The 13,550-nt window shown below is 56.3% G+C and overlaps 1 protein-coding gene and 1 long non-coding RNA gene across 5 annotated transcripts in view, besides 1 other annotated feature; both read right to left on the reverse strand.

Annotated features, from left to right (window-relative positions):
- TUBGCP2 (tubulin gamma complex component 2) overlaps positions 1-13,550 on the reverse strand; it is a 33,703-nt gene that overhangs the window by 5,974 nt on the left and 14,179 nt on the right. For 3 of the 4 annotated variants that reach the window (NR_046330.2, NM_001256618.2, NM_006659.4), the window contains 9 exons: positions 13,344-13,503; positions 8,954-9,161; positions 8,431-8,630; positions 7,891-8,080; positions 5,216-5,361; positions 4,232-4,412; positions 3,521-3,701; positions 848-1,020; positions 477-605 (listed from right to left, as the gene is read on the reverse strand). Coding sequence is in view for 3 of the 4 variants with exons in the window: in NM_001256618.2 (NP_001243547.1) it covers positions 477-605; positions 848-1,020; positions 3,521-3,701; positions 4,232-4,412; positions 5,216-5,361; positions 7,891-8,080; positions 8,431-8,630; positions 8,954-9,161; positions 13,344-13,503 (1,568 nt within the window). In the remaining variant the exon portion in view is untranslated. Of the gene's footprint in view, positions 1-476; positions 606-847; positions 1,021-3,520; positions 3,702-4,231; positions 4,413-5,215; positions 5,362-7,890; positions 8,081-8,430; positions 8,631-8,953; positions 9,162-12,712; positions 12,797-13,343; positions 13,504-13,550 lie in introns of all 4 variants that reach the window. The other variant, NM_001256617.2, reaches the window with a different exon arrangement.
- LOC124902562 (uncharacterized) lies at positions 6,225-7,439 on the reverse strand. The gene is made up of 2 exons (XR_007062394.1): positions 6,794-7,439; positions 6,225-6,699 (listed from the first exon to the last, which is right to left on the reverse strand). It is a non-coding gene; the product is annotated as an uncharacterized LOC124902562 (long non-coding RNA).
- Positions 8,218-9,417: an enhancer, noted in NCBI's record as "P300/CBP strongly-dependent group 1 enhancer chr10:135106330-135107529 (GRCh37/hg19 assembly coordinates)". NCBI's record gives its function as "activates an origin of replication core promoter dependent on BRD2, BRD4, P300/CBP, MED14 and CDK7 cofactors, with strong dependence on P300/CBP, by STARR-seq in HCT116 cells {active_cell/tissue: HCT116}" and the evidence as "EXISTENCE:reporter gene assay evidence [ECO:0000049][PMID:35650434]".

A 13,550-nucleotide genomic window follows, 5' to 3' on the forward strand; every position in this document is an offset into this window, starting at 1 on the left:
CCTCAGCTTCCCAAAGTGCTGAGATTACAGGCATGAGCCACTGCACCCGACTGGACAAATTCTTATGAAGCTCTGCCATCGACCCCTTTTTTCAACACCCTAGAGGCACAGACCGGCTGCAAAGCACCTCTGGTCCCAGCAAGATGTGGCTGTCCGCTCTCGGGAGGAGCTAGTGTCCTGCACACCGACCTGGGCAGTCTCCATGCCCGTGCAGTCACCACAAGGCTCCAGAGAGGGCTGAGGGACAGAGCCAGCATCCCCTGTGGGGTGGACGGCAGCGCCGTGCAGCCCCAAGACAGGAAAATGAAGCAATGAAGCATTATGGATCTAAAGCCACCAACGTGCGCTTCCAGATGACACTTCCAGAAGCCTAGAAAGCTGTCTACCAGGAGGGCACAAGGGGGGCGCTGCACCACTGGGCAGAGTGCAGCGAGCGCTGCTTCAGGAGGGCATGCGGGGGCAGAGGAAGAACGCACCACTGGGCGGAGTGCAGCGAGTGCTGCTTGGCGGTTTTGTTGCTGATCCAGACGCTGCAGAGCTGCCGCTCCACGTGCTTGCAGTAGAACATGTGCCTGAAGAGCATCTGGTAGCGAGTGAGGGCTTTCCTGCAAGAGACGTGGCGGCACCTCAGGTGGGCCTCCGTGACCGGCGGCGTCGTGGACACGGCGTCTGTACTCCACAGTCCGCACCGTGGCCCCCGGACAGCCCGTGAATCTCTCGGACACTGAAGGCCGGGGAGAGCCGCCTTGGGTCCTCTGTGGGACGAGGTGGCCACCGCGTGGCACAGTTCTCGCTTCTGCCAAACCTGAGTGAAGATCTGGCAGGTGCCCGAGCAGCCGACCCGCACCTGTTGATGATGAGCGAAAGGGGCCACTTGACGATGTAGTCGAAAGAGAAGGCCTCCAGGCCGCTCAGCGCCAGCTCCGTGGGGTCGGCGTGCGCCATCGCCTTCTCCTGCTTGGTCTCGATGGCCAGGACGCGCAAGAGCTGAGTGATGAGGTCATGGGGCATCAGGTCGATCTTGGAGGGAAGGAAATGAAACAAAGCATCCAGTTTTAAGGAAAAGACCCGAAGTCGCATCCCGATCGCCATCCTCGCTCACAGACCCAGCGCTGACGTAAGGTTCCCTACATTCCGATTCTAAATATCAGAGGCTTTTCAAAAACCCAAACATCTACTGATAAATCAAATTCAAAACTGAACCACTTCCCATCAGAACAAAACAACAAAAATTCAGATGAATTACTTTGTAAATACCCACTGCTGCTGTGGGTGGTATAAGGGAAAAACCGCTAAGGACGGTGAAAGAAACGTGATTCCTTAGGACGAAAACCTTTGTACCATGATAAGCACCAGGCCCAGGTTGAAAAATGAAGCATATTTGACGAGGGACATAATAGTTATTATAAGCAAGTAATACTGTCCTCACGTTAATCACTCGAGTATTTGCTAAGTTCCAACCACCCGCAACAGAGTTCCTACAAAACCATCGCACAACGACAGGACAGGAAATGAAGGGCAGGGGATAAAGCAAGAAGAAACAAGCAGCGGACAGACGAAATCGTGACCATCACAAACGCAGAAATGAGCCCCTGACATCACTTGTCCATCAAATAGCCAAGGTGGGAGCTTTCGCAGGTGTGCAGACAGCAGCGTCCTGAGACTGGACTCCATCAACTCCAGCAAGGTCAGCCTAGTCATACAAGGGCCATGTATTGTGACCCAACAATTTCACTACCAGGAATTTTTCCTACGAAAATATTCCTGCTCCTAACAAGAGACCCCAAAATATCTGAATCAAGAATAGACAGAATGACAAGGAGAAAAGCAGTTCTTCAGTGACAGGGAGACTCGGTGCCCTACTTCTAACCACGGAGAGAACCGCCGGACAGACGATCAGTGAGGAAAGACACGGCCTCAACCCACCTGCAGAACACCACCCCAACAGCACCGAGGGCGCGTCCTCCTCCCGCGCGCACGGAACCGAGGGCACATCCTCCTCCCGCGCGCACGGAACACTCTCCAGGATGGATGTGGGGCCACTACACAAATCAATACATTTCACAAAACTGAAATCACAAAAAGTCTGTTCTCTAACAAGGAGATAAAGTTAGAAACAAGCAACAGAAGGAAAACCAGAAACTTCACAAACATGTGGAAGTTAAACATAAACCACCCACGGCTCCAACAAGAAATCAGAGGGAATCAGAAACACCTCCAGACAAACAGAAATTATGACGCTAGGGGATCAGCGAAGGCTGCACTCGGAGGGATGTTTACAGCTGTAAACTAACTTTTCAAATTAAGAAACTAGAAAAAAGAAGACCACACTGAACCCCTAAGCAGCAGACAGGAGTAACAAAGATGACAGAAGAGAGAAAACAGAAAAATACAGTCAACAAACCCAAGAGTTGGTTCTTTGAAAAGATAATGAAATCGACAAATTTCTAGCTACATCAGCTAAGACGAAAGAAGATTCAAATTACTAAAATCAGAAAAAGAAGGGATATAACTACTAATCTTACAGAAATAAAAAGCAGATACTAGAAACCCATGAACTGTGCACCAGACAAGATGCGAGACAGACAGCCGACCAAGAGGAAAGGGACTGAGCAGACCTGTGGCCAGCAAGGGGCCAAGTCCCCCTCAAAAGTCTCCAACAAAGACAAACCCAGGGCCCAAGAGCTCCCAGGCAAACCCTGCCAAACAGCCAAAGAATCAACACCCTCCTGGGGAGGCGCAGGTGAAGGATCGCTTGAGCCCAGGGGTTCAACCAGCCTGGGCAACACAGACCCCCGTCTCTATTAAAAATAGTAAAAAACAGATAAAACATATATATATTTTAAAAAACGGCTGGGCACGGTGGCTCATGCCTGTAATCCCAGCACTTTGGGAGGCCAAGGTGGGTGGATCACCTGAGGTCAAGAGTTCAAGACCAGCCTGGGAAACATGGTGAAACCCCATCTCTACTAAAAATACAAAAATTAGCTGGGCGTGGTGGCGCGCACCTGTAATCCCAGCTACTCGGGAGGCTGAGGTAGAGCATCACTTGAACCCAGGAGGTGGAGGCTGCAGTGAGCTGAGATCATGCCACTGCACTCCAGCCTGGGTGACAAGAGCAAAACTCCGTCTCAAAAAAAAAAACAAAAAACAACGACAACAAAAAGGCAAAAACAAAAAGAATTAACACCACTCCTGAAACCCTTTCAAAAGACCTGAAACCCTTTCAAAAGACAGATGGAGGGACACGTGAAAACAATTCCACAAGGCCAGCATGACCTGAAAGCCAGGCCCGGACGAGGGCACTGCAGGAAAACCCGAGACCCGCGCCCCTCCAGAGCACAGGCACAAAGACCCCCGATCCCGGCAAGCCGGCCCCGGTAGCCAAGTGAAGGAAACAGACCCTGCGGTCGCCTCACCGGGACGGGGAGTGGGGGACAGGGCTGGCCTCTGCTGTGCTCTCCTCCCAGCCCCTCCGAGGCCTCTGCCACAGGGGACAGCCCCCGGCACCCCCACCCACCTTGAGGTCGTCCTTGAAGGGGTCAGTGTTGGCCGTGCTCATGCGCAGCGCCAGCTCCAGGAGCGCTTCCAGGCGAGGGGGCGTGATGTCCTCCACCGGCTTCCGGAGCTCCTCCTCCGCGAGGTCCATGAAGTGCACGAAGAAGTCGCCCTGGTCCATGAGGAAGTAGCGCTTGATGGACCTGCGCCAGGGAGCAGGCGTGAGCAGGTGCCCACCCGCAGGTGCCCGCCACAGCCAGGGAGCAGGCGTGAGCACGTGCCCACCCGCAGGTGCCCGCCACAGCCAGGGAGCAGGCGTGAGCACGTGCCCACCCGCAGGTGCCCGCCACGGCCAGGGAGCAGGCGTGAGCACGTGCCCACCCACAGATGCTCGCCATAGCCATCACCCTAAAACACACTACAACAGGCTAAGCGCTTGGCTCTCAGGCAGGGGCTGTGCAACCACCACGCAAGCTGTGGCAGGAGGAGCTGAGAAGGGGCTGGTGGGCCCTGGGCAAGGAGGGGAGCTGGGGCCCCTGGACAAGGTGACCGGGGGCCTACACCACCCACTGTGAGTGCCAGGTCCTTGAGCTAGAGACCATCCAGCAGTGCCCACTTTCAAAAAGACAAGGCGGAGCTGCCAGAAGAAACCCAGCGATCTCAGCCCCACGTCCCACAGGTTCCGGTTTCAGAGGGAGGTGAGTGCCCGCACAGGGACAGGGCACGGAATCACCTGAGGTGAGCCACCAGCTCCTTCTCCTCCATCAGGAAGTCCAGCAGCACCTTGCTGGCGTAGTTAAACGCCTTCTCGATCTGCTCCACATACGCCCGCTCTTTTAACGTGTAGATGATCTCTTTAGCCACCGGGCAGGTGACGTCATGGCCACACTCTCTGACCACATTTAGATATTTTCCTGAAAACACAGAAATTCAAAATTTTATTCTCCACATGGTCGATCTCAGGCCCCAGCTGTCTTTGTCTACACAGGAGGCAGTGGAATGGACATTGAATGGGCTCTCCACACGGTCAGTCTGAGGCCCCAGCTGTCTTTGTCTACACAGAAGGCAGTGGAATGGAAACTGGGCTGCATGAGGCGGCTCCACACCCTTGCTCCTTCCCGGTAAATCACTGTCAGCGGCTACAGACTGAGCTGGTGGTGGCAGGGCTTTGCCGTGGCTCTGCACATCTGGAATTTTCTAACCAAGGGCACAGAAATAATTTCGAACAGGCATTATGAGAACCGGATGGCTAATCGCTTCCCAACCCTTTCGTGACGGCCCCGATGTGCCGAGTCCAAGTCCCCGCGCCACTGCCCTGGGTCCAGGTCAGGCCCTAACCTGTGTGGTCAGAGATAGGAAACACTGCCGGCCGCCAGGCGTGTGTCTTTGCTGGTTTTTCCTGACATGCTAGCGGAGTTTTAGAAATCAGAAACAGAAATAGAGAAGGCACCTGTGAGAGAGCCTCGCAGGGTCAGGGACAGAGTCCCGGAGATGGAAACCTGAGGGAACCTGGCAACAGAGACCATCTCAAGGCCTAACTCAGCGCCGCAGCCCAGCCCACGGGCCAGTCCTGACCTCAGCCCCGCATTCACGGACACCAGGGCTCAGGGCAACCACAGGGTGAGGCACAGGCTCCCGGTGGGAGGGCCTGGGCTGCAGGAGACTCTCCAGGCAGAGCTGTGCTGCGCACCCCAAGTCCCCGCCCGCTGCGCCGCACCTGTGCTGAGGATCTTGTCCGCCATTTTCTGCAGGAAGGACGGGATCTGCTGCTGGACGATGGTGTACCGCTGGTCCCAGTACTTGTCGTTGTAATCCTCCTGGATCCTCTCCTTCCGCAGCTCGTGCTCCTCGACCATAAACTCACTAAAACCACAGGGAGCGCTTCGGTCACAGGCAAAGCAAGGGCGCCTGAGGCAGGCGACACTTCTCCAGGCCGGCAGCGCGCAGGGACATTAACAGAGGCCAGCACACTTCCAAGTAACGTTCCACAAGGGCCGAGCCTAATCTACCAGTTACTTCTCAACTGTGGGCTAAAACGAACCTAGGGGCCGGGCACGGTGGCTCACGCCTGTAACCCCAACACTTCTCGGCTAAAACGAACCTAGGGGCCGGGCACAGTGGCTCACGCCTGTAACCCCAGCACTTTGGGAGGCTGAGGTGGGCAGATCACGAAGTCAAGAGATCAAGACCATCCTGGCCAACACAGTGAAACCCCGTCTCTACTAAAATACAAAAAATCAGCTGGGCGTGGTGGTGTGCACCTGTAGTCCCAGCTACTTGGGAGGTTAAGGCAGGGGAATCGCTTGAACCTGGGAGGTGGGGGTTGCAGCGAGCCGAGATCATGCCACTGCACTCCAGCCTGGCAATGGAGCGAGACTCTGCCTCAAAAAAAAAAAGAAAAAAAAAAAAAAGAAAACCAACAAACCTACAAACCTCGCTCTGGAACGGAGTATTTAACCTGGGCTCAGGGAGAATGTACGGTCCGCAGAGATAGGTGGGAAACTGATTTGTCTTTATCTGCACCCACCTCTTTTTGGAATTTAGCATTTCCTTCCATGATGAGCCCAGGCAACAAAATGATGCTCGTGTGGGGTGCGTGGGGCCCTGACACCCAAAATGATGCTCGTGTGGGGTAGGCGGGGCCAACATTGACAGAAACCAGACATCTCCACGTCATCATCTGAACAACTTCAAACATCATTTACGCACTTCAAGTGTGAAGGTGCTTTCTTTAAAGGTGCCCATTATACCAGATTTTATTTGGTCCATTAGTAAAGAAATAACATTTCCACATCACTAATGTATTTTTTGAAAATATTTCAACAACGGTATCTTGACGTAATAGACATAATACAATTCTTTGGGAACTAACATATTTTTATCCATTTAAATATATCGCACTGAAGAGAAGCCGACAGACCCCACCAGATCAGGAAATCCAAGCACCAAAGAGGTTGAAGGACCTAATTGGAGGCAATTTAATGTCCTGCACACAAAAGAATAAGGCCATAAGCAGCTGGGCCATTCCTGCCCTGGGCCCCATGGGCAGCAGGCGGACATCTGCCCGGGGTGTGCTTTCCTGAGACCACAAGCAAAGGAAGGCCAGAGCCCCCAGAGAGGGCAGCACGCGCCCTCCGTGTCCCCCATGTCCCTCCGTGTCCCCCATGTCCCTCCGTGTCCCTGTGTCCCGGGGAGCCCTACCTGTACGGGAGAGGGCAGCATGCACCGTCCGTGTCCCCCATGTCCCTCCGTGTCCCCGTGTCCCTCCGTGTCCCCGTGTCCCGGGGAGCCCTACCTGTACGGGAGAGGGCAGCATGCACCGTCCGTGTCCCCCATGTCCCTCCGTGTCCCCGTGTCCCTCCGTGTCCCCGTGTCCCGGGGAGCCCTACCTGTACGGGAGAGGGCAGCATGCACCGTCCGTGTCCCCCATGTCCCTCCGTGTCCCCGTGTCCCTCCGTGTCCCCGTGTCCCGGGGAGCCCTACCTGTACGGGAGAGGGCAGCATGCACCGTCCGTGTCCCCCATGTCCCTCCGTGTCCCCGTGTCCCTCCGTGTCCCCGTGTCCCGGGGAGCCCTACCTGTACGGGAGAGGGCAGCATGCACCGTCCGTGTCCCCCATGTCCCTCCGTGTCCCCGTGTCCCTCCGTGTCCCCGTGTCCCGGGGAGCCCTACCTGTACGGGAGAGGGCAGCACGCGCCCTCCGTGTCCCCCATGTCCCTCCGTGTCCCCCATGTCCCTCCGTGTCCCTGTGTCCCGGGGAGCCCTACCTGTACGGGAGAGGGCAGCATGCACCGTCCGTGTCCCCCATGTCCCTCCGTGTCCCCCATGTCCCTCCGTGTCCCTCCGTGTCCCCGTGTCCCGGGGAGCCCTACCTGTACGGGAGAGGGCAGCACGCACCCTCCGTGTCCCCCATGTCCCTCTGTGTCCCTCCGTGTCCCTCCGTGTCCCCCATGTCCCTCCGTGTCCCCCGTGTCCCTCCGTGTCCCTCCGTGTCCCTCCGTGTCCCCCATGTCCCCCATGTCCCCGTGTCCCGGGGAGCCCTACCTGTACGGGAGAGGGCAGCATGCACACTCCGTGTCCCCCGTGTCCCTCCGTGTCCCCCATGTCCCCGTGTCCCGGGGAGCCCTACCTGTACGGGAGAGGGCAGCATGCACACTCCGTGTCCCCCGTGTCCCTCCGTGTCCCCCATGTCCCCGTGTCCCGGGGAGCCCTACCTGTACGGGAGAGGGCAGCATGCACACTCCGTGTCCCCCGTGTCCCTCCGTGTCCCCCGTGTCCCCGTGTCCCGGGGAGCCCTACCTGTACGGGAGAGGGCAGCATGCACACTCCGTGTCCCCCATGTCCCTCCGTGTCCCCGTGTCCCTCCGTGTCCCCGTGTCCCGGGGAGCCCTACCTGTATGGGTCGTGGATGATGCCCCTGTAGATCCACTTCTCCAGAACCTCGAAGTAGGGAGCACTGGCCGCCTTGGTTAGGTACAGGCATAGCTCCTGCGCCTGGCTGTCCCCTGTGTAGCTGAAGCTCCTGTCGTGGAGCAGGCTCAGCGTGGACCCCCCAAGACATTCGCCTTTGTCCACCGAGGTGGCTGTGGGGAGAAAGGAGGGCTCACTGCTGAGAAGGAAGCGCACGCCCAGCCTCTGCCAACAACACTGCTGGGGCCCCTCATGCTTCTCCAACCTTCTTCCTGGGACGGTGCTGCTTCTTTGGGATACGTATTAACTGTAAGGTTGTAGTTGCTGATTTCAGCTGACCAGTAAGAGCTTCCAGGGCTTTCCTCTTGCAAGTTAATAGCACATGGAGCAACATGAGCTTTGGCCACACGCCCCTGCCCTGGGCAGCTGCTCCACGGCCCCTGCAGAGTCTCTCCTCACACTGGGTGCCATGTTCAACACCTGCCACCCACCACTGCCCCATGCCCCCCGGGCGGGCACGCACCGAGGGAGGCCAGGATGTCCATGGTGCGCATGGCTGGCTGGATGTAGAACCAGAGCTTCTGCAGCGAAAGGAGGCCCTGCCTGTGCAGCTGCTCCAGCTGTGACACCAGAATCAGGTGCTCCTTCACCAGGGTGCGCATGGCGGCCGCCAGGGCGTGGTTCACCTGCCCGTACTCGAAGGAAGACTTCTCTTCAATGAACCTGGAAGAAAAGCTGTCAGACTTCCTCAAAAAGGCAAGCTGCAGGCACATACAATGTCCGATATTCTGAGTCTCATCCCAAACAGGAAGCAAATGACTCACTTGAACCCCACATCCCAGAGGGGAACTTTTGCCCCAGGAGGAGATGAGTCAGGACCCTGGATGGTGACTCACAGACCCTCCAAAACTGAGTTGGGCACGGAGTTGTCACCAAGGCGGGCGCTCTCTTTAGAAGCGATGCAGACGTCCCCATGGTCATCAGGATGGGACCTAACCCCTCCCCCACAACAGCGCAGGCTCCCAGGGACCGCGCCCGGTGCCCACCTGGTCACAGCGGAGTAGCTGGCGGCCACTGGGAGGATCCTGTGCACCAGCTCCCTGATGGACAGGTCCAGGTTGGGGTCCACGAGGAAGGTCCGGCTCTGCCTCCCAGCCAGGGGCTGAGCACTGACGTACCTCCCGTCCACGCCCACCAGCACGTACAGCAGGTCCTCCACCACGGCCGACTCCTGCGAGGCCAGGGGCAACGTGCCTGCGGGCACAGACAGCGCTGTGGCTCTGCAGCCCCCACTCCCATGCCCCCACAGCCACGTGCCCTCATCTGCGGGTCAGTCTCACTCTTGCTCATCTTTGTTTATGGGTATAAAAGGTCAGCCACTGCACTTGGCTTTGACTGACCCCACTGGGGAGCCACAGGCTGAGTTCCAACCGCCGCAGGACGGGGCCGGCCTGGGAGGCGTGGTGGCTGGTGTCAAGATCTCACCACACTCGGCTCCGCAATGCTCAGATACATGGCTGACATTTGAAAAGGTGAAGTTAGGAGTTGAAAAGGCGACTCCAGCAGAAGCTGCACTTTCAACATTGGTAAGTACAACTTGGTAAGTCTGAGTTACTCTGGGACAAAAAACCTTGTCTTTAAAAAGCTATCACTTAAACGTTAAGAAACTCTTGATAATTTCTATCCAGAGAGGATGAGACGGCTGCAGGACACACAGCTAAGCTTCCTCACGAGGACGGCCACGGGCCGCCACCCACCAAACCCCTCAGGTCCCAGGACCAAGTTCTCAGTCCACAGCCTCAGGCGGGCCATGCCTGGGGGGCCGGGAGGAGCACCAGACGAAAGCAGGATGTTGAAACTGTCCCCACGAGGGCCTGACAGGGCCCCGTGCCAGCCAGACCATACCCAAACCAGGCCCTGGCAGCTCAGGAAGGCTCCGTACAACAGGCTTTCGGTTTACAAAATCACTCTGTCAGCCTCACACATCTGCTGGGAAGTGTCCTGTGACTGCAGGCCTCAAGACTACAATCCGTCACCAACGCAAGCCCTTCAGCGAAAGCCTCAATCCTGATGCAGATCCACACTGTCCTTGTTTTTTTTTTTTCCTTTTTTTATTTTTGAGACAAATCTCACTCTGTCACCCAGTCTGGAGGGCAGTGGTGCAATCTCAGCTCACTGCAGCCTTGAGCACCCAGGCTCAAGCGATCCTGTATCCTTAGTCTCCCTCGGAGCTGGGACCACTGGCACGTGCCACCATTCCTGGCTAATTTTTAAATTTTTTGTAAAGGTGGGGTCTTGCCGTGTTGCCCAGGCTGGCAGATCTACACTTTTCAACTTCAAATTCCATTTCTTTCTATTACTCCAGTGGCCTTCTCAGGATGACCAATAAAACCGAGACCCCAATGTCTACCATCCCTAAAGGAGTGGGTGTGGCTTGGCGTTTTGGGAACAGCGAGTGCATCTTCCAGGAACTGCCTCTGACTCTGCATCACTTACTTTCCACCATGTTGGCCTCATTCATCCACAGCCACGAAGCCTCGGCCAATGCCCTTGTGGGGAGAAGCCTCACGGTGGGGTGGAGGTGCCGTGGGGTGGGGGTTAGTGTGGATCCAGCCGCCTGGCTGTGGAGGGACCTCAAGGGTTGCTTTAGGCCGGGTATGGTGGCTCACACCTGTAATCCCATCACTTTAGGAGGCCAAGGTGGACAGATCGCTTGACTCCAGGAGTTCAAGACCAGCCTGGGCAACACGGCGAATCCCCGTCTCTACTGAAAATACAGAAATTAGCTGCGTGTGATGGTGCACACCTGCAGTCCCAGCTACTCGGGAGGCTGAGGTGGGAGAATCACCTGAGCTTGGGAGGTCGAGGCTGCAGTGAGCTGAGATTGTGCCACTGCACTCCAGCCTAGGCAACGAAGTGAGACCCTGTCTCAAGCAAAAAAAGAGTCAGTTGCTTCACCTCCCCAATATTCAACATCCTCAGTGTCATCTCAACACCTGCGATGTCACCTGCAAATCACCACGTCCGAACGACCACCGAACACGTGGCTCCTCCGTGCCGGTGTGGGGAAAAGGCAGGACGCGGGCAGATAACACCTTCGCATGCTGCGCGGGAGCGACCAGAGGGAGGGGCACTGCGGAGGCGGCGCTGGCCAGGTGGATGCCCACACGGTGAGGAGAGCATGGCGGGAACGTGGAGTGCTGGCAGCTGCCTCGTGCTCACAAGGTCCTGATGCTTTCCAAGGCACCTGTCCTCATCACACCACTCCACAGCTGTTTTCCAGAGGACGCAGGCCCGAGGTCACACAAGGTCCCGTGGTGTGGCACTGGTCAAATCGTGGGGTGAGGAGCTAGACAGGCCCCGGCATGAACACCACAGTGAGCTCCATTCTCAAGTCTGCACAGGTGGCACAAGGGGACAGGGACAGTGCGGACAAAGGGAGGCAAGGCAGCCTCAATACCGGAGGCACCCCTGGGACCTGTGGTATGTGGCCGTGGGAGGGAGGTGGGGCGAGGCCGCCCCTTTCCTGGGATGCTGAGTGTGCTGAGGGCACCTGCACCCTGACCTGAGAGCTGGCTGCAGGGTTCACAGCCAAGTCTCACACACTTGCTGCCAATCACCGCCACGCTCAGAGCTGCCCACGGCGCCGCAGCGTTACTGGACAGTGCGTTCCTCTTTTGTACAACCCCTTCCCTGAATGGGGAAACATGGGGGGAAAGCCTGAACACCCCCTCAGTGCCTCCTGCTCCAAAAAGCCGGCTCCACTGCTGGGATCCCAGGCAGCAGGGCCCCGCGCTTCCTTCTCCGAAGTCTGCCTGGGTACCATCAGGAGCTCTCAGGTGCCCACCACTCCCCGGCTGCCTGCTGAGTACCCGCTAAGGGAGCAGCTCTCTCTCCCTAAGTCTTCACAGTTGGGTTTTCACAGTTGGATTATTACTGAAAACACTGCACAAAGCAGACTGCTTTGTTTTTTTTTTTTTGAAACAGGGTCTCGCTCTGTTGCCCAGGCTGGAGTGCAGTGGCACGATCACAGCTCACTGCAGCCTCGACCTCTCAGGCTCAAGTGATCCTCCCACCTCAGCCTCCTGAGTAGCTGGGACTACAGGTGCACGCTACCACACTCGGCTAATTTTCACATTTTTTGTAGAGACTAGTCTCGTCCTGTCGCCCAGGCTGGTCTCGAATTCCTGGGCTCAAGGAATCCACGCACCTCACCTCCCTAAGTGCTGGGATTACAGGTGTGAGCCACCATGCCTGGCCGAAGTAGACTGTTTTCCATACTTTTCATTAACTTACAGCATGGTTTTCTATACTTCTCATAACTTACAGCAGGGTTTTTCTATACTTTTCATTAACTTACAGCAGGGTTCTGTTTGCTTGGGGATGAGGAAAACAGGTGGATTTCACGTCACCGTTCTCCAGGGTTTCCGGCAAAGGCAAGGGTTGGCCCCTTGGTGCCCACATTGCAGAGCCGTGAGTAGTGGGGAAGCAGACCACGCTCCATGCTGCCTCTTGAGTTTGGACTAACGGGGATGGGGCAAGATAAGCAGGTATGCTCTGTCCTTAGTTTGTGAAATCTCATTTTTCAATCTAAAAATGTACTTGACTAGGCGTGGTGGCTCATGCCTGTAATCCCAGCACTTTGTGAGGCCAAGGTGGGCAGATCACCAGAGGTCAGGAGTTCGAGACCAGTCTGGCCAACACGGCAAAACCCCGTCTCTACTAAAAATATAAAAATTAGCCAGGCGTGGTGGCGCCTGCAGTCCCAGCTACTTGGGAGGCTGAGGCAGGAGAATCGCTTCAACCTGGGAGGTGGAGGTTGCAGTGTGCCGAGATCACGCCACTGCACTTCAGCCTGGGCGACAGAGCGAGATTCCATCTCAAAAGAACTAAAAATAAATAAAAATAAAAATGTACCCATGAATTGTGACAGATGAACACATCCCAGGTCCCCAATAACAACGTCTTGAAATGACTGTGTGGTCTCACCCGCATCTTGTTTACACGAACACTACTTAAGAGGCCTCTGAGAATACTGCTGTAACAGAATCTATGGGAGTCATGAATCGCTGTTCAGAAATAAGTGCTGCACACAATTCTGATGCCTGCAGGTCTGCACCAGGGCACCAGGATGCCGGCTGGGGAGGGGCCTGCTGCAGGCTGCCCCACAGCTCTGGCAGAAGGGACAGGAGAAGAACCCTCAAGGACCCGGGTGAGCCGTTCTCTGCTGCCATCCTGGGATGGGAATATGGAGGCGGCAGCCAGTCAGCATTGAGCCTCACAACCTGAGGAAAGGCAGGCCCGGGGGAGGGCTGGGCCTGCAAAGTGTCCTGCCCAGAGGCCAGAAATAAACACATGACATACCTATCGGCAGAGCCCGGAAATCAACGCATCACGTACCTATCGGCAGAGCCCGGAAATCAACGCATCACGTACCTATCGGCAAAGCGGTGTCTGTGCTGATGCCAGCACCAATCAGGAAATCCCCGATCAGGGCAGGTCTCTCATACACCCATGCTGGGAAGATGGGGAGGTGCTGGCCTGAATTTTTTTTGTTCTGCTTGTCTCGAAGCATCTTTCTTTTAAGTTCCAGAGACTAGCAAGGACATTTTAAAAAACAAAACCAGAAAGATACACTTTAGC

The sequence above is a fragment of the Homo sapiens genome, chromosome 10 (assembly GCF_000001405.40).
Source record: "Homo sapiens chromosome 10, GRCh38.p14 Primary Assembly".
Classification (NCBI taxonomy): domain Eukaryota; kingdom Metazoa; phylum Chordata; class Mammalia; order Primates; family Hominidae; genus Homo; species Homo sapiens.